Genomic DNA, 21,855 nt, shown 5'->3' with positions numbered 1-21,855 from the left:
TCTTTTTCCTGCTGGACTCTGACCGATATAACAGATGGGAATTACTGTCCCTAATGTCCAAACCTGCCTGCACATGCATGCCTCCCTGCACCCCTCCTCATCTTGGTACAGGGCAGCAGGGTGCTGCGTGTCATTTACCATCTGGACAGAGCCTACCAGTTGGGCTGAGGGCACCTGTCCTTTCAGTGCCTTTCTCTTCAGTGAGAGGCTTGGGGAGCAGGGACCATAGGCTGGCCTGAGCCAGCACACAAATGATGCCATGAAGGAACACAGCTGTGTCCTGGGCAAGGGGCCACTCAAAGGAGCAGGTGTCACTATAGGTGCCAGATGAGAGAGCCTGCAAACGGACAAGGGGGAAAGAGTTTGTGTGATGAGATGGGACAGTCCCTGGAGGGCCTTGGACAGCACAGCCAGCTGCCGTGCCATACCTTCCACCATCACGGTTACAACTGAGCCACTGATTCAACACTGTGGTGGCACAGCTGTCCCCATCTGGGAGGGAAGGCAGCCCATCTCTGTTAGTTCCATTTGTCTCACCAAGCTGGGCTCCTTCCCTCCCTCCCACCTTTTTTTTTTTTTTTTTTGAGTTGGAGTTTCGCTGTTGTCACTCAGTCTGGAGTACAACGGCACGATCTCAGCTCACTGCAACCTCCGCCTCCCGGGTTCAGGCGATTCTCCTGCCTCAGTCTCTTGAGTAGCTGAGATTACAGACATGCACCACCATGCCCGGCTAATTTTGTATTTTTAGTAGAGACGGGGTTTCGCCAGGCTAGTCTTGAACTCCTGACCTTGGGTGATCCTCCCACCTTGGCCTCCCAAAGTGCTAGGATCACAGGCATGAGACACCGTGCACTGTGCCTGGCCTGTTTTGGTTTTTTTTGTTTTGTTTTGTTTTGTTTTTTTTTGGTCACAAAGGCTCAATATACATTTCTGAGTACAGCATCACTGTGGAGAAATGCTCCACACAGACACACATGGGTTAGAAGGAACTGGCTGCCCCTAAGAACGGCAGAGCCAAGGGAGTCAAGGGGGAACAGTCCCCACTCTCCCTAAGTATCCCACCCTGTCCTCAAGGCCTGAAGATCCTCCATCATCACACCAGTGGCTTGTATACTAGAAACCAGCCCAGAATCAAAGGCCTTTCCAATCCATCCAGTAACTGTCATGGGGCTTAGGCTGTGGAGTCTGATGGCCCCAGCTTCAAATCCTGACTCCACCACTTAGGACCTGTGTCTACTTAGGTATCTTGATAACCCTCAGTTTCCCCAAGTGTAAAACGGGGATAGCAGTGGCCCCTCCCCTGGAGGTTGTTGTGAGGAGTGAATGGTATCATATCTGTAGGTCCACAGAGAAGCCTGGTGTCCAGCACTTAGCTGACCCACAACAAGGGGCAGCTATTAACACTTTAGCTGCCTCTCCCCAATCCCAAAGGAGGCAAGCCTGCCCTCTGCACACACTGCAATCCCCACCTCTGTTCCTTTTTATATTCTGTTATTTCCCAGCCTCCCTGACTGTGGTGGGGTCTTGCCAATGCCCCCAGGGGACTTCTTGTCCCCAGGAGTTCCCCAGGGTAGAGCACCAGAGGTCCTGCCATAAATGTCTGTCTGCGTGTTCTTGACTGCAGATGAGTAAGATTCAGAGGTGCTGGGGAAGGCAGTGCCACCAGCAGGCACTGAGCCACCAGGAGGCCCAGTTTTGTCTTCCTGGCTTCTGGATGCATCATCCTGACCCCCCTGCTGATTAGACCCAGGCACTCCCACAGCTGGGAGTGGTCCCCACCCCACTCCTTCCTTCCCAAAACAAGTTCCATGGAGCTCCTTTTCCTTTCCTGTTTTCTCATCAGCCGGAAAGATCTGGGAAATGTCCTGTGGTACATTCTAGGCTTGTTCCAACAGGCCCAGGCACACAGAAAGTGGGAGGCAATGAGAGGCTCCCAAATTCCCCCATCCCTTCTGGAGAGGCAAGACAGAGTCAGTGGGGGCCTTTGAAAGCCAATCTTTGAACTATAAATTGTGCTTGGGCTTACAAGGACTTCGGAGCTTGTCAACAAGGTCTGGGCCCTAACAGCCGAAGGACTGCCCCTGACTGACTGCCCCAAGGAGAACAGACGTTCGTCACTTCCCTAAGACCAGTGAGCCTAAGGGAAGGCAGATCCCAGCTTCTCCGCCTGGGCTCTCCCTGGCTGGCCTTTGTAGGATGAGGGCCTCTCCACGGGGCCTCTGACATTCCTGCTTGTGGGGAGTTGGATTCACATTACAAAGGAAGGAGATTAAGCGTGCAATGAAGGGGCAGAGACTCAGAAAAGGAGATTCAGGGGTCTGGTGGTCCCTGAAGAGGAGGGAGGGACTTTGTGAGGTGGCCTTGGGCCCTGGGAAGGCCCCCCGCAGCATGTTTCTGGGCAGGGCCCTCAAGTTTTGATTTCTCTTGCCCACCACAGGGCTCTCTCTATAAATGTTCTGAGAGAGCAGCTCCAGCTGAGTCCAGTGTGCCCTTCCGACGCTCTGATGCCCAGGCTCCAATTTGCTTTTGCCCTAGTTCTCTGCCCGGTTTCTTGTTCTGAGCTAGGTCAGGCTAACTCTCCAAAGTCTCCCTCCTACAGACAAGTGACTTCATCGATGCTGGGCCTGGGTCCATCTGGCGCAGGGCAGGAGCCAGGGACAAGAGGGCCCGGTGGTGCTTCTTCAGGACTGTCTTGGGGGCCCAGCACCCGCCAGTGGATGAGGTAGATGCCACCATCTGGCTTTGGGGTCGGTGGCTCTGTAGGGAGAGTGGCATGGCCCTGGTGCAGCCTTGGCCCAAAATGGACTGCCACTATGATGCAGACTGCCAGCAGAACAAAGACAGCGACAATGACGGTGACCACAGGCAGCCCGTCAACTCGAGGTTGTTCCCAGGTGCCACTTAGCACCTCCGGAAGCTGCCTCTGGGGCTCCTGCTCTGATGAACTGTTCACAGCTGGAGAAGGCCAGGAGTAGTGGCCAGCCTGGGAGGAGAGTGGCAGAGAGAGAGGGTGACATGGATGTATACACACAGAAAAAGACCAAAATAGAAAGAGACAAACACCCAAAGGAACCTGAGGCGGGGGGTTGAGGGCGGGAGGGACCAGAGACAAAGACAGAAAGACAAAAAGTCAGAGTAAAGACCTGGAGAGAGGCAGAGAATACAGAGGTAAACCACATGGCAGCAGAGACGATCAAAGAAAAAGGCAGAAAAGGCAGAGGGGGATACAGAGAGGGAGAAAGAAAGAGGAAAGGGGAAAGAAAAAGGCACATAAAAACAGACAGAAATAAAGATACAGACAGAGACAGAGAAAAAAGAAACAGATGCAGGGAGACAAAGACATTCAGACAGGGTCAAAGAGAGTGCTGGCTTCATCACAGTCCAGCGTATACAGTTTGGCCCCCCAAGTTTCCTCCCACTGTCCCCTTTTCCCAGGTCTCCAGCAAAATTCCTAAATAGATCCTGTGCCCTGGGTCGGGAGTCTTGGCACGCTATGGGCTGCTGTCCCCACATCCTAGGCAGTGGGCAGAGAGCACCTGCTTCTTAAAGTCCTGGGGAAAGGGGGTCCTTGTCCAGCATTTTAGGCTCCCCTTACTCCCCACTCACACAGAAGACAGACAGGTGGTGCCCTGGCGGCGGGAGAGGTAGAGGTAGAGGTAGAGGGGATGTGAACTTAGAAGGCAGGGGGATGCCTCTTTCCATAACTGTACCCCTGCCACCCTGCCGAGGTCTCAACATCAGGTTCTGGGGTCCTGGAGGAGAGGGGGTGCCCAGTGTGGACTCCTGGCTCTGCCCAGGATGGATTGTGGAGACCCTGTGCCAGTCTTCCTCTGTCCAAGTCCCAGTGTTCTTCTACCAAAAGCTGGGGGTCACGATCCGTACCCCTGTCTGACTCCACCCTGCTTGGTATTAGATGGGGGTGGTGGCATTGTAGTGAAGGTAGCAAATGGCAAAACTGTAAACCCTAGAGCTGAGGTCCTCACAGGCCCAAGAAACTTTGCCTCCCTAGCTTCCCCTTCCCAGATGGGCCATCCTGGAACAAATCTTAGCGGGTGGAGCCCCTCTCTCTAACCCTGCACTCTCAGCATGGCCCTCCCCATGGGTAGGCCAGGAAAGGCTTCCCAGGACAAACCCATGTCCTTTAGCCCCTCAGTCCCCTTGTCCACACTATCCCATCTCCCACATGCATCCCTTCGTGGAAAGGCACACCCCCCACCCTACCTTGCAAGTGTCTCTGGGTCCCAGGCCACAAAGTTCCCAGGGCAGGGGGTGGGGAAGCAGCTCTAGATGTGCAGAGGAAAAGGGGAAGCTGAGGCTGGTGACAGACAGGGGGACCCTGCAGGGAGTCAGCCCAGCCTGGCAGGAAGGGGTGAGCAGAGTCTACCTGGTGCATTGTCCGGGCCGACACAGGGCTCCCTTGGGACTGGCAGCCAGCTGGGTAAAGGAGGGCTGGCCACCCTAATTCAGCCCCTACCCGGAGCTGCCACGTCTGCGGGGCCCATGGGCACACACCCTGTGCACACACTCTCACCGCTCTCCTGCGCTTGCACTTCCTTCCGGGAACATCTGGGCTACCCTGGGCTCTGCCCTTAACTCTGATAGTACCTTAATCTTCCTCCTTGGCGCCTCCTTTCATGCCCCCTGCCAGCTTCAGGAGCCTGGGTGTGCCTGACCACCCCTCCTCCACCAGATCTCAGAAGCCTGGCCAGAGCCCCAACCTAATCTGCCCCCCACCAAGTCATGCTGGCTCCTCGCCTTAACCAATTTCCTGGAGTTATTGTCCTTTGATCTTTTCTTTCTAAATGCAATATTTCTTTTTTTTTTTTTTTGAGATGGAGTCTCGCTGTGTCGCCCAGGCTGGAGTGCAGTGGCGTGATCTGGGCTCACTGCAACCTCCGCCTCCCGGGTCCAAGCAATTCTCCTGCCTCAGCCTCCTGAGTAGCTGGGATTACAGGCACCCACCACCATGACCAGCTAATTTTTGTATTTTTAGTAGAGACGGGGTTTCACCATGTTGGTCAGGCTGGTCTCGAACCCCTGACCTCGTGATCCACCCACCTCGGCCTCCCAAAGTGCTGGGATTACAGGTGTGAGCCACCGTGCCCAGCCTCTAAGTACAATATTTCAAACACAATGGAAACTGCAGATACATTCTCTCTTTAATAAATACATAATAAGTCTCTAAATCTCCAAGGCTCAACCACCAGCTCTGTCTTCTCTCAATAGTTTGTCACATTTATTTTTAAAATATTAATATTACAATGAAAACAGAAGCCCTCACTTCCTGACCTCTCCCCTCCTTCTCACCACAGGGATAAACATCTCATAGAATTTGATGTTTATTGGCCGGGTGTGGTGGCCCATGCCTGTAATCCCAGCACTTTGGGAGGCCAAGGCAGGAGGATCACTTGAGGCTAGGAGTTCGAGACCAGTCTTGGCAACATAGTGAGACCTTATCTCAACAAAAAATTTAAAAATTAGCTGGGTGTGGTGGTGTATACCCATAGTCCCGGCTACTTGGGAGGCTGAGGTGGGAGGATCACTGAGCACAGGAGATCAAAGACCATGAACCATGTTCGTGTCACTACACTGCAGCCTGTGCAACAGGGGGAGACCCCATCTCAAAAAAATAATAATAATAGAATTTGATGTTTATTATTCTCACACAAGGCATTGTTTTCCCTTTTTTCTTTTGGTTTTTATAAATATGAATTCTGTATTTCTTTGCATTTGCCTGAATGCAACTTCATTTGAGAGTATGTATGTGTTTTAATGTGTCCAAGTCACAAAAACTGCCCACCAATCTCTCCTCTCTCTAGAGACAGTTTTTTTTAGCCACAGCTAACTCTGTGGGACCAGCCATCCCTCATTCTGTCCATTGCTGTGCACTCACCATCCTCCCTTCCAGTCTGGAGAGCCAGAGACACCCTGGGAACTCCCCTCCGCTGGAGTCTTGATCCAGGATGAAACAGAATGTAGCATCCTGGTTCCTTGTCTCTCAGCCGAGCTGCCCACATCCTGACATCCAGGGCCCCCACTCAGACCTCCAAGTTCACTTGAGCCCAGATCCCTGGACTGCTGACCTGATCTGCAAAGTGAGCGGGACCTATTGCTGGCTGACCTTGAAGCCCCTGGCTGACCCTGAAGCCCCTGGCTGACCCCCTCCCAACGGGATCAAAGGCTCTGCTCATCCTCTGCTTCCCACCTTGGTCCATTTAGACTTTAGCCAGAGGGAATCTGGACTCTGCCACGGGTCCTGAACTTCGGCCACTGCTATTCACCTCCTGCCTCCTCAAGACACATGTGCCATTGCTCTGGCAGATATCTCCACTGGGGCTCCGGTCCCTGTGTCCAAAAGCCCAATTTTTGATCCTTCTGATGACTACTTCTTCCCTTTCCTCCCTCATTAATCCTGGATCTGTCTCCTAAAGGGCTTCCGAGAGGATAATACGGTGGAACTTCTGGGACCAGACTACAGCCCCAGCCTTCTGTGTCACTTCTCTACCACTGCTATGAGCTGCCCACCCATTCCTGCCGTCTAAACCTTAAACATCTGTTATAGCTTAGGTCAAGTGTGGCCTCCTCTAGGGACGAATTTTTCAGCCCTGTACTTGAGTAACTTGCTTTCTTTTCCTTAAGCCTTACAGCATAATGTTTCTTACCCGCTCCTAACATTTGTCACACTTTGTCTTATGTAACAGGTATGCGGAGGCTCATCTTTCCAGGAACCATGACTCTTTTTTTTTTTTTTGAGACTTAGTCTTGTTCTGTCACCCAGGCTGGAGTGCAGTGGCGAAATCTCGGCTCATTGCAACCTCCACCTCCTTTCCATCTCTCTGGGGGAGGGTGGAAGTGGCTTTGCTGGCCAGAGGAAGGCAAAGAGCAACCCTTCTTTCACTCTGTCACCACCAAAGGCAGGCAGGCTGAGGAGTCTGCAGAGGGAGCCGAAGGACAGGGGCCTGTGGGAATACCCTGAGCAGGCCAGAGTGGGGTTGCCATGATAGACTCAGGGCAGGTCTGAGAGGCGGCTGACTTTTGAGGTCATCGGAAACTCTGGGCTAGAGTTGGGTAAGTAAGGAGCAAAGGCTGCTTTCCTCTACCACACCCCACTTCTAGCCTTGTAAAAAGCTATAGGTCTGTAAGGAGTGTGGGGTTTCTTTTTAGGGTAATGGAAATGTTATAAAATTGATTTTATTTGGGGTGAGTGAACAACTCTCTAAATATATAAAAACCACTGAGGCAGCCGGGCCCGGTGGCTCACGCCTGTAATCCCAGCACTTCGGGAGGCCGAGGTGGGCAGATCACAAGGTCAGGAGATCGAGACCATCCTGGCTAACACGGTGAAACCCCAACTCTACTAAAAATACAAAAAATTAGCCGGGCGTGGTGGTGGGCGCCTGTAGTCCCAGCTACTCTGGAGGCTGAGGCAGGAGAATGGCATGAACCCTGGAGGCGGAGTTTGCAGTGAGCCGAGATCATGCCACTGCACTCCAGCCTGGGCAACAGAGCGAGACTCTGCCTGAAAACAAACAAACAAACAAACAAACAAACAAACCACTGAGGCTGGTGTGGTGACTCAGGCCTGTAATCCCAGCACTTTGGGAGGCCGAGGTGGGTGGATCACCTGAGGTCAGGAGTTCAAGACCAGCCTGGCCAACATGGTGAAACCCCATCTCTACTAAAAACACAAAAATTAGCCAGGCTTGGTGGCGTGTCTGTAATCCCAGCTACCCAGGAAGCTGAGGCAGGAGAATAGCTTGAACCCGGGAGCCAGAGGTTGCAGTGAGCCGAGATTGTGCGGCTGCACTCCAGCCTGAGCAACAGAGGGAGACTGTCTCAAAAAAAAAAAAAAAGCCACTGAATTGTGCACTTCAAATGAGGACGAGTGAGAGGGTGAAGAAGGCATCCACATGGTGGGGAAGGAATGGGAGCAGAAATGGGAGCTTGGTTACTGAAAGGGGAGTGATCCAATAAGTAAGTATTTAAGGATCATGGGAGTCAGAGAAGGGCCTTAGAGATGCTACTCCCTAGCACCAACGAGCACACTGACGACTCAGACCTCGGTTTCTTTCTTTTGAAAAAATTTGTTTTTTTGAGACAGGGTCTCACTCTGTGGCCCAGGCTGGAGTGCAGTGGCATGATCTCGCTCACTGCAGCCTCAACCTCCCAGGCTCAAGTGATCCTCCCACCTCAGCCTCCTGAGTAGCTGGGACTACAGGCACACACCACCCCACCCGGGTAATTAAAAAATTTTTTTTGCACAGACGATATCTCACTATGTTGCTCAGGCTGGTCTCAAACTCCTGAGCTAAAGCGATCCTCATGCCTAGGTCTCCCAAATTGTTGGGATTGCAGGTATGAGCCACTGTGCCCGGCCCTCAGTTTCTAAATATCATTTGCACCAAAAGGAATGAAGACCCCTTAAAGAAACAGCCGATTCCAGGGCTGGGGCAGGTGAAGCACAAGAAGTGCCTGGAAGCCGGGTGCGGTGGCTCACACCTGTAATCCCAGCACTTTGGGAGACCGAGGTGGGTGGATCACTTGAGGCCAGGAGTTTGAGACCAGCCTGGACAATATGGTGAAACCCCGTCACTACTAAAAATACAAAAATTAGCCAGGCTTCGTGGTGTGTGTCTATAATCCCAGCTACTCAGGAGGCTGAGGCAGGAGAATCACTTGAACCTGGGAGAAGGAGAATGCAGTGAGCCGAGATCATGCCATTGCACTCCCCCTGGGCAACCAGAGCGAAACTCTGCCTCAAAAAAAAAAAAAAAAAAAAAAAAGCCTGAAACATCTTATTATGCCAGAAAGTAAGGAAGTGCTCAAAAAATGATGGAGACGTGTCAAAAGGACACAGAAGCCAGCTTGTAGGGGCTAACAGTGGCCAAAATGGAGACAATTTGAGCATCAGAACAATAAATGATTGTATTCCAACCTAGTGAATAAAACAGAAATACATGAGTTTATATATAGATATAGAAAATATCTCCTCATAACATCTCTATTAATTATAAAGGATAAAAGTGTAACTTTAGAGTGGAGAAAACTGGCTGTGGTGGGCTAACTTGTGGCCCCCAAAACGATATGTCCATGTCTTAATCCCCAGAACATGTGAATGTTACATTATTTGGAAAAAGGGTCTTTGCAGGCTGGGCGTGGTGGCTCACGCCTGTAATCCCAGCACTTTGGGAGGCCGAGACGGGCAGATCACCTGAGGTCAGGAGTTCAAGACCAGCCTGGCCAACATGGTGAAACCCCATCTCTACAAAAATATAAACATTAGCTGGGCATGATGGTGGGTGCCTGTAATCCCAGCTACTCGGGAGGCTGAGTCAGGAGAATCACTTGAACCCAGGAGGTGGAGGTTGTAGTGAGCCGAGAGGCAGGAGAATTGCTTGAGCCCAAGAGGCAGAGGTTGCAGTGAGCTGAGATCACGCCACTGCACTCCAGCCTGGGTGACAGAACGAGACTCCATCGCAGAAAAAAAAAAAAAAAATTGAGCCAGGCATTGTGGCTCATGCCTGTAATCCCAGCAATTCAGGAGGTTGAGGCAGGAGGGTCACTTGAACCCAGGAGTTCAAGGCTTCAGTGAAGTGAGATTGTGCCATTGCACTCCAGTCCGGGTGACAGAGCCAGATCCTTCTCTCTCTTTTTTTTTTCCTTTTGAGTCAGGGTCTGGCTCTGTCTTCCAGGCTGGAGTGCAGTGACACAATCTTGGCTCACTGCAACCTCTGCCTCCCAGGTTCAAGCCATCCTCCCCATTCCAGCCTCCTGAGTGCTGGGACTATAGGCATGTACCGCCAAACCTAGCTAATTTTTTAATTTTTAGCAGAGACAAGGTTTTGCCATGTTGCCCAGGCTGGTCTCAAAATCCTGAGCTCAAGCAGTCCTCCCTCCTTGGCCTCCCAAAGTGCTGGATTACAGGCGTGAGCCATCACACCCAGCCCTGAGACCCTGTCTCTTAAAAAAAAAAGGAAAAAATAATGCATTATTTGATAGGATGCAAAGAGAGAGACTCAACATTGCTTCTTTGATGTCACTGCCGAGATAGATAACCTAAATTTTAATTAATTAATTAATTAATTAATTAATTAATTTTTTGAGACAGGGTCTCACTCTGTCGCCCAGGCTAGAGTGCAGTGGCATGATCTTGGCTCACTGCAACTCCACCACCTGGGTTCACGCCATTCTCCTGCCTTAGCCTCCCAAGTAGCTGGGACTACAGGCACCCGCCACCACGCCTGGCTAATTTTTTGTATTTTTTGTAGAGACGGGATTTCATCGTGTTAGCCAGGATGGTCTTAGTCTCCTGACCTCGTGATCCACCCACCTCGGCCTCCCAAAGTGCTGGGATTACAGGCATGAGCCACTGCTCCCAGCCTAGATAACCTAAATCTTATGAGGAAACATCAGAGAAACCGAAATTGAGAGAACTTCTATAAAATAACTGTACTGTAACCTTCAAAAGTGTTTAGGCCATGAAAATCAAGGAAAGTCTGAACTATTCCGGATTGAAGGAGACTGAAGAGACTTTCAGTGAGTAATTCTGGGCAGGATCCTTTCGCTATAAAGGACATTATTGAAACAACTGTCAAAATTTGAATAGGATCTGAAGATTAGATGGTATTAATATATTTATATTAATTTCCTAATTTTGATGGCTGTATTGTGATTATGTAGGAGACTGTCCCTTGTAGGAAATACACACTAAACTATTCGGGGTGATGGGGCATCCTGTTGACAATTTACTCTGAACAACAGTTCAGGGAAAAAAGTTCTGTGTAATGTACTTCCAACTTTTCTTGTGACTGTTTCAAAATAAAATATTAAGAAAATAAAGAAAAAAGGGCTAGGCATGGTGGCTCATGCCTGTAATCCCAGCACTTCGGGAGGCTGAGGTGGGTGGATCACAAGGTCAGGAGTTTGAGACCAGCCTGGCCAACATGGTGAAACCGTCTCTACTAAAAATACAAAAATTAGGTGGGCGTGGTGGCGTGAGCCTGCAGTCCCAGCTACGCTGGAGATTGAGGCATGAGAATGGCTTGAACCTGGGAGGTGGAGGCTGCAGTGAGCAGACATCTTACACTGCATTCCAGTATGGGCAACAGTGAGAGACTCTGTCTCAAAAAAAAAAAAAACAAAAAAAAAGGAAAGAAAAAAGGATACCATTCATTTAAATGATTGTATATGTATATGCATATTGTCAAAGACTGGAAGGCAAATAGACTGGAAGGGAATTAATAACAATAATATAATTAATATTAAGGAGGTAGGATTGTTTCTGACATTCCTCTGCTTTCGAATCTTTTTTTTTTTTTTTTTAATTTCAGTGATGGAGTCTCACTCTGATCATAGCTCACTGCAGCCTTGAACTCTTGGGCTCAAGAGGTCCTCTTGCCTTAGCCTCCTGAGTAGCTAGGACTACAGGCATGCACCATCATGACTGGCTAATTAAATTTTTTTTTTTTTTTTTTTTGTAGAGACAGGGTCTTGCTGTGTTGCTTAGTCTGGTCTCAAACTCCTGGCCTCAAGAAATCCTCCTGCCTCAACGTCTCAAAGTGCTGGACTGTAGGCATGAGCCATTGCGCAGCCCTGACCTTAAATCTTTTGAGTTTAGTTCAATAAATATGTGCTGAGGACCTGCTATGTGGCAGGCATTGTGCCAGGTCCTAGGAATATTGAAAAAAGTCACAATGCTGGCTTGCAGTCTGCAACAGAGAGAATCCTGGGATAAGGATGAGTGCTGCTGGATGCCGAGGACAGGGGACACCTCACCCCAGTGAGGATGCAGAGGGAGGAGTGCTTCAAATAGGGGGACTCTTGCTTTTCTATTAAGAATAACGATACCCGGCTTGGTGGCACATGCCTGAAGTCCCAGCTACTTGTGAGGCCGAGGCAGGAGGATCACTTGAACCCAGGAGTTTGAGTCCAGACTGAGCAATATAGCAAGACCCCATCTCTCTCTTTTTTTTTTTTTTTTGAGACGGAGTCTCACTCTGTTGCCCAGGCTGGAGTGCAGTGGTACGATCTTGGCTCACTGCAAGCTGCACCTCCCAGGTTCACGCCATTCTCCTGCCTCAGCCTCCCCAGTAGCTGAGACTACAGGCGCCTGCCACCACACCTGGCTAATTTTTGTATTTTTAGTAGAGACGGGGTTTCACCATGTTAGCCAGGATGGTCTCGGTCTCCTGACCTCGTGATCTGCCCACCTCGGCCTCCCAAAGTGCTGGGATTACAGGCGTGGGCCTCCCAAAGTGCTGGGATTACTGGCCAAGACCCCAACTCTTAAAAAAAAAAAAGTAAAAAAGGAATAATAATCATGCGTATAGGGCCTCTCTGAAAGATGTGGGGAGTCCTATCTGCATTGGGATCCCTGAGGAGGGAGAGGAATGTGGAGAATTCAGGGTCCAGGGAGCATGGGTGACTGGTGGGCTGGGCTTCCAGGCTGAATCATGGGAAAGGAGAACCTGGTCTGAAACAGTACTGGGCGGGATTGGTGTTAGATTCCAGGAAAACCCCCAGGCGGTCTGTGGTGGAACCTGATGGACCCTCAGAAGGGAAGAGAATGGGGATGGGGCCAGGTTGCCATGGTTGGTCATTGTGCATAGGCACTAGAGGCCATGCTGGGTGGGCACAGTCGCTGCTGCAGCCTCACATCCTCATCTGGACATGGCTGAGCAGGGCCCCTGGAGCTGGTCCCAATGTGTTTCCTTCTATTCTTTTGACAGGAAGCTCCTGGAGAGCCAGTCCCCACCCCCATCCCGCCCCAGCACTCCCTCTCTCTTCTCCACTATGGACAGAGCCTCCACTGAGCTGCTGCCTGCCCGCCACATACCCAGCTGACATGGGCACCGCAGGAGCCATGCAGCTGTGCTGGGTGATCCTGGGCTTCCTCCTGTTCCGAGGTAAGAGGTGCCTGCCGCTTTCCCATGGCAATTCCTCTCCGCAGCTGGCCATTCTAGGCATCGGTCTCTTTCTCAGGAGACACATGCTTTCCATCCAGGGGCTGTGCCCAGGGGAAATTCCAGAGCCTTTCCATGAAGATCAGTTGGATTGGGGGGTCCTGATTACCAGGCAGGGGTAAAATGGAGCTACGGTTAAACCCTCTTGTGGGAAATTGTCCTGGGGGAGCTGGGCTCCCCATAAAGGCTGGCCTCCTGAATTGTGGGAGGGAGCTGTGTTAGTGCAAGACCCAGGCCCAAAGCTCCTTCTAGGATGTGCTCAGGCTACTCATGACCCTCACCCTCTGATCTTGGGGCAGGGCTGACGACGGCCACTCTCTCAACTGTTCTAACACAAATCCTCTGCACCATGGGCTTCACAGGGGATCTGTTCTCTCCTTTCACATGAGGAGTAGCAACCTAGGAATTCCTAATGTAGATTTTAAAGTTAAATCACAGCAAGAGGGACTCAGGTTAGACACAAAGAACTATTCACCAAGGAGGATGTGCTTAACATTCTCACATCCAGGGGGCTAGAGTAGATGACCTCCAGAGGAGGCTACTTGGAAATGGCACCTCTCTGACAGGCTCTGCCAGCCAATGAGTTGTGAAGCCGCTCATAGGGGTCCTCTCATCAGGGAGCAGTTGCTGGGAATCATGACGAGTCCAGGGCATTCTGACTCACAGGGCAGCAACTTCCCTTTGACCATTCCTGCTCTGCCCCCACCTCACCCTCTACAAGTCCTCTGTGCTCAAAGCAGCAGAAAGAGTGCACAAGAGGGCTCAGATGGGGAGGGGTGGTGGCCCCTCGTCGGTGGTGGGTAAGAGGGCCTGAGTACCAGAACACTGGCTTCCGGAGATGTCAGGCATTTCTCTAAAAGTCCATGGGCTGGAGGACAAGACTCTGATTGTCCCCATCCCCTCCTACCCCCTCCATGACAGAGTCACAGGTCTGGGGCTGGGGAACAAGGCTGTTGTGGAAACTGCAGGTGAAGCTCATGAGGTGGCATTTTCACAGGCCGAGACTTTTCCCAGCCTCCCTACCCACTGTTTTCTCCCAGGCAAGTGCCAGCACTCTCAAATGCCCTGTGTCGGCTGTACCTAAGCTGCTGTCACCCGCCCCGAGTTTCCTAACCCTTCATCCTGAAGTGTGCAGAGCATTTCCTGGCTCCTTCATCTTGGTGGACTGAGGAATCCTGAGCACATTCAGGCCCATAAAGGGACTTGACTACGGATACCCAGAGGCAGGGCAGACTTGAGACTTGGAGGATTTGAGAGAACAGGGCAAAAACAAAAGTGTCTGGCCTTCATTGAGCATGTCAGGCACTGCGTTAAGTGCTTCATATGCATTTTCCTTCCTTCACAACAACTTGCGAGGTACTGATACCACTTGCATTTTACTTAGTTATTTTTGAGACAGGGTTGCTCCATTGCGCAGGCCAGAGTTGCAGTGGCATGATCATGGCTCACTGCAGCCTTGACCTCCTGGGCTCAAGCAATCCTCCTGCCTTAGCCTCCTGTGTAGCTGGGGGCTACAGGCACACACCACCACACCCAGCTAATTTTTGCATTTTTTTGTAGAGACAAGGTTTTACCATGTTGCCCAGGCTGGTCACTTGTACTTCAAAGTAAAGAAAACTGAGGCCTAGGTCAGACAGCGACAAAGCCAGGACTTGAACTCAGGCTTGCCAGGCTCGATTAAAATCCACGATTTTAACTTCTAAACTATGCTTTTGAGGAAAAAATGGGGAGGGGTGTGTGTGGAGATAGACTAGAAGGGGATAAAGCAGACAGAATTAGAGAGGGGAGACCTGGGAAATCAAAAATTCCTGTGGCTAGAGTTCTTTGGGAATCTGCAGGCCCAGTGGTCAGAGACACCCTCGGCTGTAGACACAGATGCTCCCTAAGTCCCTCCCTTACCCACAGAGAAATCTTTGTTGGTGACAAAAAGTTTGGGTAGTGGGAGGGGCAAGAGGCAAAGAAAGAGCAGGGTCTTGAAGCTTGTGACTTTGGAACTCCTCCCAAGCCACTGAATAATTTTCTTTCTAGATAAATGCAGGAAGGCAGTTCCCTGTGCCTTCCCTGTACCTTCCCACCAAAAACTAAGTTATAACCTTACAGCATTTAGATAGTACATTAGGCCAGGCTCGGTGGCTCACGCCTGTGATCCCAGCATTTAGGATGCTGAGGCGAATGGATCACCTGAGGTCAGGAGTTTGAGACCAGCCTGGCCAACATGGTGAAACCCCATCTCTACTAAACATACAAAAATTAGCCGGGCATGGTGGCAGGCGCCTGTAATCCCAGCTACTCAGGAGGCTGAGACAGGAGAATAGCTTGAGCCCGGGAGGCGGAGGTTGCAGTGAGCTGAGATCGCGCCACTGCACTCCAGCCTGGGTGACCAAGAGCGAAACTCTGTCTCAAAACGAAAAAAAAAAAACAAAAAATACATTACATATGCTGGATTAGTAACTGATACATGTTTTCAGGACATGCCTTGGGTTAAAAGGATTCTCCAAGGGTCCTCCCCAGCTAGAAAGGGTTTTCTCTAGCCTGGGCTTCCTATAAATTTTGACTCCCCTCTTGACCATCCCCCTCTCGCCAACAAGGGAATGGGGCTCTCAGAAATGGTGATCTAGAAAAACATGGCCCAGGGTTTGGTAATTTTACACTTGGAAGCAATTAATTCTACACTATCCAGATGATAGCCCCATGGAGGAAGGCAGTGGCTTAAGGAAAATAAGCAGAGCAGCAGGTTGCCACAGGCTGGGGTGGGCCCCTGGCACCCAGCCGCCTCTGTCCACCCAGGCCTGGGCTGAATGCTCCCCTGATGCTGAGAGACCAAGGGAGCAGCAGAGCCAGGCCAGGGGCTGTAGTCCCTGCTCAAGCAGAGGGACGGGAACCCAGCTGGGCGGCTCCACTTCCCCACGTTGTTTTCCTTTCACATTGTTCACAGGTTTCAAGAATGATTTCATTGTGGAAAATGAGCAAATACAACCTGACCTTTCAGGTTCCACATACACAGCGGGACACACACAAGGGCACACGAGCATGCACATACATTTGCATAGAGCCCCGCAGACACACGTGTACATACAAAAAAGCCAGTGAGGGCTTCTGATTGGGGACTCTTGGTGACTGACCCCTCTCTGGGTTTGGTCAATAACAACCATTTCCTATGTATCCTCTGCCTGTGAGAGTGAATGGGTTGCTCATGCTAGAGCTTCCCTGCCTCCTATATATACCTCAGAACTTACTTTCTGCACAGGCCCCTACCTCTAGGCAAGATACAAGCCCTAATCCCCATCCCCATCTCACTCACCTTCCCGTCTCTCAGCCCCTTCCCTGGGGGCAGGACCAGGGTGACAGTAGCTTAAGGTAAACATTAGCCTAGAGACCTGGAGTCCTGGGCCCTTCCTTGTCTAGGTGTGGCAGGTCATTGATCTTCTGTCCTTAGAAATGTCACTAGTTTAAAATAACCTTCTCCTGACTCTGCATCAGGTTGGTAAAATGCCCATGTCAGATTGAAGAGACAGGGAAGGACTTCGGGACTCTGAGCCATGAGGTGGTGGTGATGTTGCTATTGAGTCACAGTCTCAGAGGAAGCCAGCACCGTGAGCCACAGCCCACATCCTTTAGTCCTCTGCCTAGTGTGTCTGCCTTCCAGCATGGTAGGCTTAGAAAGCCAAAACGTTTTTTTCTGTTTTCTTTTCTTTTTTTTTTTTTTTGAGACAGAGTCTCACTTTGTCTCCCAGGCTGGAGTGCAATGGCATGATCTCAGCTCACTGCAACCTCTACCTCCCGGGTTCAAGCGATTCTCATGCCTCAGCCTCCCAAGCAGCTGGGATTACAGGCGTGTGCCATCAGGCCTGCTAATTTTTGTATTTTTAATAGAGGCAGGGTTTCACCATGTTGGCCGGGCTAGTCTTGAACTCCTGACCTCAAGTGATCTACCCACCTCAGCCTCCCTAAGTGCTGGGATTACAGGTGTGAACCACCGCACCTGGCCAGTGTTTTCTTTTCTTTTTTCTTTTTCTTTCTTTTTTTTTTTTTTTTTTTTTTTTTTTTTTTTTGTTGAGATAGGGTCTCCACCTGTTGCCCAGGCTGGAGTGTAGTGGTGCAATCATAGCTCACTGCAGCCAGCCTCAACCTTCTGGTCTCAAGCAATCCTGCCACCTCAGCCTCCTGAGTAGCTAGGACTCCAGGTGTGCACTACTGTGCCTGGAGAATTTAAAAAAAAAAAAAAAACAAAACAAAACAAAATTTTTTTTTAGAGACAGGGTCTTGCTATGTTGCCCAGGCTGGGCCAGAAGGCATTCTAAGGGTTCCTTTCTAGGCTCTGTGCTGGGCAGGGGACTTACCAAGCTATGTGTTTTGCTTTCTCTTGCAGGCCACAACTCCCAGCCCACAATGACCCAGACCTCTAGCTCTCAGGGTAAGACCAAACACATGGGTCTACTCCAGCGTGTAGGCCTAGGAGCTTAGGAAGGGTGAGAGGAGCTCTATGCCAATTTAGCCTTAACCTCAGGGGGCTGGGGCCGCAGCTGGAGCGGGAGCTCTCAGGACTCACCAAGGCTGAGCTCATCTAAGGATTTTTTTTCAGCCTAGCTGAGTCTAATGTACCTTGAAAGAAAAAAGAGGTGAATGGTTGGGAATGAGGGGTGGGGGATGGGGTAGGGAGAAAGACACACAGATCTAGGGAACAAGAGAGGGAGATGGAACAGTAGGAGGCGGTGCACCCCTCAGCCTCAGATGTTCTGTTTCAGGAGGCCTTGGCGGTCTAAGTCTGACCACAGAGCCAGTTTCTTCCAACCCAGGTGAGTGAGTGTGGTTGCTGAGGTCCCTGCTCCTGCCCCACACCCATTCATTCAGACCTGCTTGGAGCCCAGGGGTTCTTGGGTGGGACAGGGAGTGTGGTGTCACCAAACCTACCCCACCTCCCACTCCCTATCTGCCTCTGTCCTTGCAGGATACATCCCTTCCTCAGAGGCTAACAGGCCAAGCCATCTGTCCAGCACTGGTACCCCAGGTACTGTGTCATTCAGACTACAAATGCCATCCAGGGAGGGCCCAGTGAGGACCCCAACAGTTTCTGCTCTAAAAGAGAATATAGACTGGGGCGAGCGGGAACAGACAAGGAAATAGACCCTCACACTGAGGATGACATGCAGGGTGAGAAGGGCTGCGGTGGGCACCAGCAGAAGTGTGGGAGCCCAGGCACATGTCAGTCACTTCAGACTCGGGGGCCAGGGATGACTCCCAGAAGCAGCTTCTGAAGCCGAGCTGAGAAGGGGTCAGCTGAGCATGTGGAGGCTGTGGGGTAGAGAGTAGTGGGGCTTATTCCAGGTGGGGTGGAGAGTAGTGGGGCTTATTCCAGGCAGAGGGAACTGCCCAGAGGTGAACAAGAGAATGGCCCCTTCTAGAACTGAAAGCAGGAAAGAAGAGGAAGATTTTGGACTGAAGAGCCCACCCGGTGCACATGCCGGCCAAGGCCCTGAGCAGGCCCGAGTGTGCTTCCTCATTCACGGCAGCTCCAAAGAAGGCCGCGCAGGCCCCCATGGCAGCCAGTAAACCCGTGATGCCGAGGGCAGGCACCGTGGATGGGCTCTCCCCGACCTGGTTGGGCCTAACTTGGGCCAAGCCACAGATGTACACATCAGGACTTGTTGAGTGCCCAGGGCGGGGGGCAGCGGTGAAAAACACTGGGTTCCATCTGGATGGGTTCCTTCTGCCCTCTTCAGGAGGCCACAGGGGTCAGGACCCACATCAGTGGCACCCTGGTTCAGGAAAGAAAGAGGTTTGGTGGGGCGTAGAGACAGGACCTTGGGCCTGGTCACAACGAAGGTAACAGGAGCTTAGACTTGAGACTGAGAAAGGCATACCCAGAGAGGAGAGGGAGGAGAAGGATACCCCAAAATGAAGGAAAAGGAAGGCAGAAAAGGCTGAGAAAGAGCTAGAGTCCTCTCAGGCAGGGAAGACTGGCCTTTGCTTAGCAGCGAGGGAGAAGAGCTGCTGGGGGATGCCCCCATCTTGGTCATGCTGTTTCATGGTGCAGGCGCAGGTGTCCCCAGCAGTGGAAGAGACGGAGGCACAAGCAGAGGTATGTCCTGCTGCACTCGCCCTGAAGAGAAGTCGGCAGGAGATGTCTGTGACCCTTTCTCTCGTCTTATCCCTTGGCTCTCAGATTTTTTTATTCTCCCAGACTTATTTGGGAAGGGGAAGTGAGGAGAGATAAGTGGAACAGCAATTGGGCCTGAAGTACAATGGGTTGAGAAGGGAAGACACAGGTGACATAGCACCTTTTTTTTGTTGAGAAGGAGTCTTGTTCTGTCGTCCAGGCTGGAGTGCAGCGGTGCGATCCCGGCTCTCTGCAACCTCCTCCTCCTGAGTAGCTGGGATTACAGGCATGCACCAAAAGGCCCAGCTAGTTTTTATTTTTTGTTTTTTGTTTTGAGACAGAGTCTCGCTCTGTTGCCTATGCTGGAGTGCAGTGGCACAATCTTGGCTCACTGCAACCCCTGCCTCCCAGGTTCAAGAGATTCTCCTGCCTCAGCCACCTAAGTAGCTGGGACTATAGGCACGCGTCACCATGCCCGGCTAATTTTTGTATTTTTAGTAGAGATGGGATTTCACCATATTGGCCAGGCTGGTCTTGAACTCCTGACCTCATGATCTGCCCGCCTCGGCCTCCCAAAGTGCTGGGATTACAGGTGTGAGCCACCGTGCCCGGTCTTTTTTTTTTTTTTTTTTTTTTTTTTTAGGAGAGATGGGGTTTCACCATGTTGGTCAGGCTGGTCTCAAACTCCTGACTTCAAGTGATCCACCCATCTTGGCCTCCCAAAGTATTGGGATTGCAGGCATGAGCCACCGCACCAGGCCAACATAGCAGTTTTTAAGAGGGCCAGAAATCTGTGCCCCTTAACAGGCAGCCTGGCTTGTTGGAGCCTTGCCTGAGCAGAAACATTCCTCCCACCTCAACCCTGGCACAATACAGACAGCTCTATTTTGCCCAGTCTGACCTCCTAGCTCTGCAGCATAAATTCTGGTCCTTCCCTAGGGGGAAGCGGGAGGGAAGCTAGCTCTAGCTTCCCTGTGTCAGTCCCCTTCGCTGATGCCCCTGACTCCACTCCATTTTAGACACATTTCAAACTGTTCCCCCCAATTCAACCACCATGAGCCTGAGCATGAGGGAAGATGCGACCATCCTGCCCAGCCCCACGTCAGAGACTGTGCTCACTGTGGCTGCATTTGGTGAGACCGGAAGGAGAAGGTGGGACATAGGAGGAACCCCTACCCCTGGAATTAACTTGGACTCTGGGTCTGAAACGCAAGTTCAAATCTCACCCATTTGTTCCAGGAGGTTCTGGCTGATAAGGAAGACCCTTGTGGAGGGGGGCCCCTGCCCTCCAGTTAGCTCTTCTTGGCTGTGCTGGGTTCCATGTTCTCATGCAGGGATGGAGTCGGGTGGAGAGCCCACTCTGGCTAGGGGGCGGGCAGGCTGAGAGCTCACCTGTTCAGCAGAGAAGTGGAACTCACTTTGCTCCTGGAGCCTGTCTACACAGTACTTATCTGGGAAGGGAATGCCGGACTCTTGTTGGCCCCTTTGTCCCCCCGACTGGCCCCCTTCACCCCATTCTTTTCTCTGTTCAGGTGTTATCAGCTTCATTGTCATCCTGGTGGTTGTGGTGATCATCCTAGTTGGTGTGGTCAGCCTGAGGTTCAAGTGTCGGAAGAGCAAGGAGTCTGAAGGTGCGTGCCCTGCCCTCGGGGATCTTTTTCCCCTCTGCTGGCGGACCCAGGGCTAGAGCCCCAGCTCACACCAGCCTGCATCTGCCACTCCATGAGCCGGAGGGTCCCCAGGTGGGCTTTGAGAGGAAGGCTGGACTTCTGAGTTACAGCATGTGAGCCCCAACCTGTGCCTTTGGCTTTTTACAGATCCCCAGAAACCTGGGAGTTCAGGGCTGTCTGAAAGGTAAGACCGTCAGAAAAATCTTCTATCTGACACCCAGACCCCAACTCCCAGAGGGAACCAACACTTCCTGCCTTCCACACCCACACACCCACACACCACACACCATACACCTTCACACATCACACACACACCCCCACACACCTCAAACCCACCACACACCCTACACCTCACTACACACACCCACACACACCTCAAACCCACCACACACCCTACACTTCACTACACACACCCACACACCACACACCACACACATTACATACATCACACATCACACACAACCCCCATATTATACACGCCTCCCACACACCTCAAACACACCACATACCACACACCCCACTAGACGCACATCTCACACACCACACGACCCCCACACACACACTCCCACACACCTCAAATACACCACACACCCCACACCCCACTACAGACACATACCCACACACCACACACACACACACCCCACTCATCAGACACACCACACACCCCACACATCACACATCACACACACACCCCACACATACCTCAAACACACCACACACCCCACTACACACACACACCACCACTCCACACACCACACATATCCCATACTATACACACACCCCAACACACCTCAAACATACCACATGCCCCACATCCCACACTACACACACACCCACACATCTCATACACACCCCACATACCACACACCACACACCTTATACTGTACACACCACCCTCACACACACCTCAAACACACCACACACTGCACCTCCCACACTACACACACATACCCACACACCACACATCCCCCACACATCACACACCACACACACCCTGTACTATACACACCACACACACACACCACAAACACACCACACTCCCCACACCCCACACTATGCATACACCACACACACCCCACACATCACACACCATACACACAACCCATACTATACACATGCCCCACAC

At 51.4% G+C, this 21,855-nt stretch overlaps 2 protein-coding genes across 4 annotated transcripts in view, besides 7 other annotated features; one reads left to right on the top strand and one right to left on the bottom strand.

Moving 5' to 3' along the window:
- Nucleotides 352-873: an enhancer, noted in NCBI's record as "H3K27ac-H3K4me1 hESC enhancer chr5:138854227-138854748 (GRCh37/hg19 assembly coordinates)". NCBI's record gives its function as "activates a minimal SCP1, AML or CMV promoter by ChIP-STARR-seq in primed H9 embryonic stem cells {active_cell/tissue: H9 hESC(primed)}" and the evidence as "EXISTENCE:reporter gene assay evidence [ECO:0000049][PMID:30033119]".
- Nucleotides 1,815-4,511, bottom strand: SMIM33 (small integral membrane protein 33). The gene is made up of 2 exons (NM_001365197.1): nucleotides 4,385-4,511; nucleotides 1,815-2,983 (listed from the first exon to the last, which is right to left on the bottom strand). The coding sequence occupies exons 1-2, from the start codon at nucleotides 4,391-4,393 to the stop codon at nucleotides 2,594-2,596; spliced, it is 399 nt and encodes a 132-aa protein (NP_001352126.1). The 5' UTR covers nucleotides 4,394-4,511; the 3' UTR covers nucleotides 1,815-2,593.
- Nucleotides 2,438-2,959: an enhancer, noted in NCBI's record as "OCT4-NANOG-H3K27ac-H3K4me1 hESC enhancer chr5:138852141-138852662 (GRCh37/hg19 assembly coordinates)". NCBI's record gives its function as "activates a minimal SCP1, AML or CMV promoter by ChIP-STARR-seq in naive H9 embryonic stem cells {active_cell/tissue: H9 hESC(naive)}" and the evidence as "EXISTENCE:reporter gene assay evidence [ECO:0000049][PMID:30033119]".
- Nucleotides 6,777-7,071: a silencer, noted in NCBI's record as "tiled region #4960; K562 Repressive DNase matched - State 8:EnhW". NCBI's record gives its function as "represses a minimal TATA promoter and a strong SV40 promoter by Sharpr-MPRA in K562 cells {active_cell/tissue: K562}" and the evidence as "EXISTENCE:reporter gene assay evidence [ECO:0000049][PMID:27701403]".
- Nucleotides 12,235-12,822: an enhancer, noted in NCBI's record as "H3K27ac-H3K4me1 hESC enhancer chr5:138842278-138842865 (GRCh37/hg19 assembly coordinates)". NCBI's record gives its function as "activates a minimal SCP1, AML or CMV promoter by ChIP-STARR-seq in naive H9 embryonic stem cells {active_cell/tissue: H9 hESC(naive)}" and the evidence as "EXISTENCE:reporter gene assay evidence [ECO:0000049][PMID:30033119]".
- ECSCR (endothelial cell surface expressed chemotaxis and apoptosis regulator) overlaps nucleotides 12,772-21,855 on the top strand; it is a 14,184-nt gene continuing 5,100 nt past the window's right edge. For 2 of the 3 annotated variants that reach the window (NM_001293739.2, NM_001077693.4), the window contains exons 1-8: nucleotides 12,772-12,905; nucleotides 17,332-17,376; nucleotides 17,708-17,758; nucleotides 17,911-17,970; nucleotides 18,997-19,041; nucleotides 20,079-20,192; nucleotides 20,592-20,690; nucleotides 20,877-20,913. In NM_001293739.2, the coding sequence (NP_001280668.1) occupies nucleotides 12,845-12,905; nucleotides 17,332-17,376; nucleotides 17,708-17,758; nucleotides 17,911-17,970; nucleotides 18,997-19,041; nucleotides 20,079-20,192; nucleotides 20,592-20,690; nucleotides 20,877-20,913 (512 nt within the window). In that variant the 5' untranslated portion in view covers nucleotides 12,772-12,844. Of the gene's footprint in view, nucleotides 12,906-17,331; nucleotides 17,377-17,707; nucleotides 17,759-17,910; nucleotides 17,971-18,996; nucleotides 19,042-20,078; nucleotides 20,193-20,393; nucleotides 20,503-20,591; nucleotides 20,691-20,876; nucleotides 20,914-21,855 lie in introns of all 3 variants that reach the window. The other variant, NR_121659.2, reaches the window with a different exon arrangement.
- Nucleotides 13,412-14,000: an enhancer, noted in NCBI's record as "H3K27ac-H3K4me1 hESC enhancer chr5:138841100-138841688 (GRCh37/hg19 assembly coordinates)". NCBI's record gives its function as "activates a minimal SCP1, AML or CMV promoter by ChIP-STARR-seq in primed H9 embryonic stem cells {active_cell/tissue: H9 hESC(primed)}" and the evidence as "EXISTENCE:reporter gene assay evidence [ECO:0000049][PMID:30033119]".
- Nucleotides 14,001-14,590: an enhancer, noted in NCBI's record as "H3K27ac-H3K4me1 hESC enhancer chr5:138840510-138841099 (GRCh37/hg19 assembly coordinates)". NCBI's record gives its function as "activates a minimal SCP1, AML or CMV promoter by ChIP-STARR-seq in naive H9 embryonic stem cells {active_cell/tissue: H9 hESC(naive)}" and the evidence as "EXISTENCE:reporter gene assay evidence [ECO:0000049][PMID:30033119]".
- Nucleotides 17,965-18,024: an enhancer, noted in NCBI's record as "active region_23233". NCBI's record gives its function as "activates an Ori minimal core promoter by ATAC-STARR-seq in GM12878 lymphoblastoid cells {active_cell/tissue: GM12878}" and the evidence as "EXISTENCE:reporter gene assay evidence [ECO:0000049][PMID:35858748]".

Source organism: Homo sapiens, chromosome 5, assembly GCF_000001405.40.
Source record: "Homo sapiens chromosome 5, GRCh38.p14 Primary Assembly".
NCBI classification, from domain to species: Eukaryota; Metazoa; Chordata; class Mammalia; order Primates; family Hominidae; genus Homo; species Homo sapiens.
Note: the sequence above shows the minus strand (reverse complement) of the source record. Positions and strands in the feature narration are given on the sequence as shown.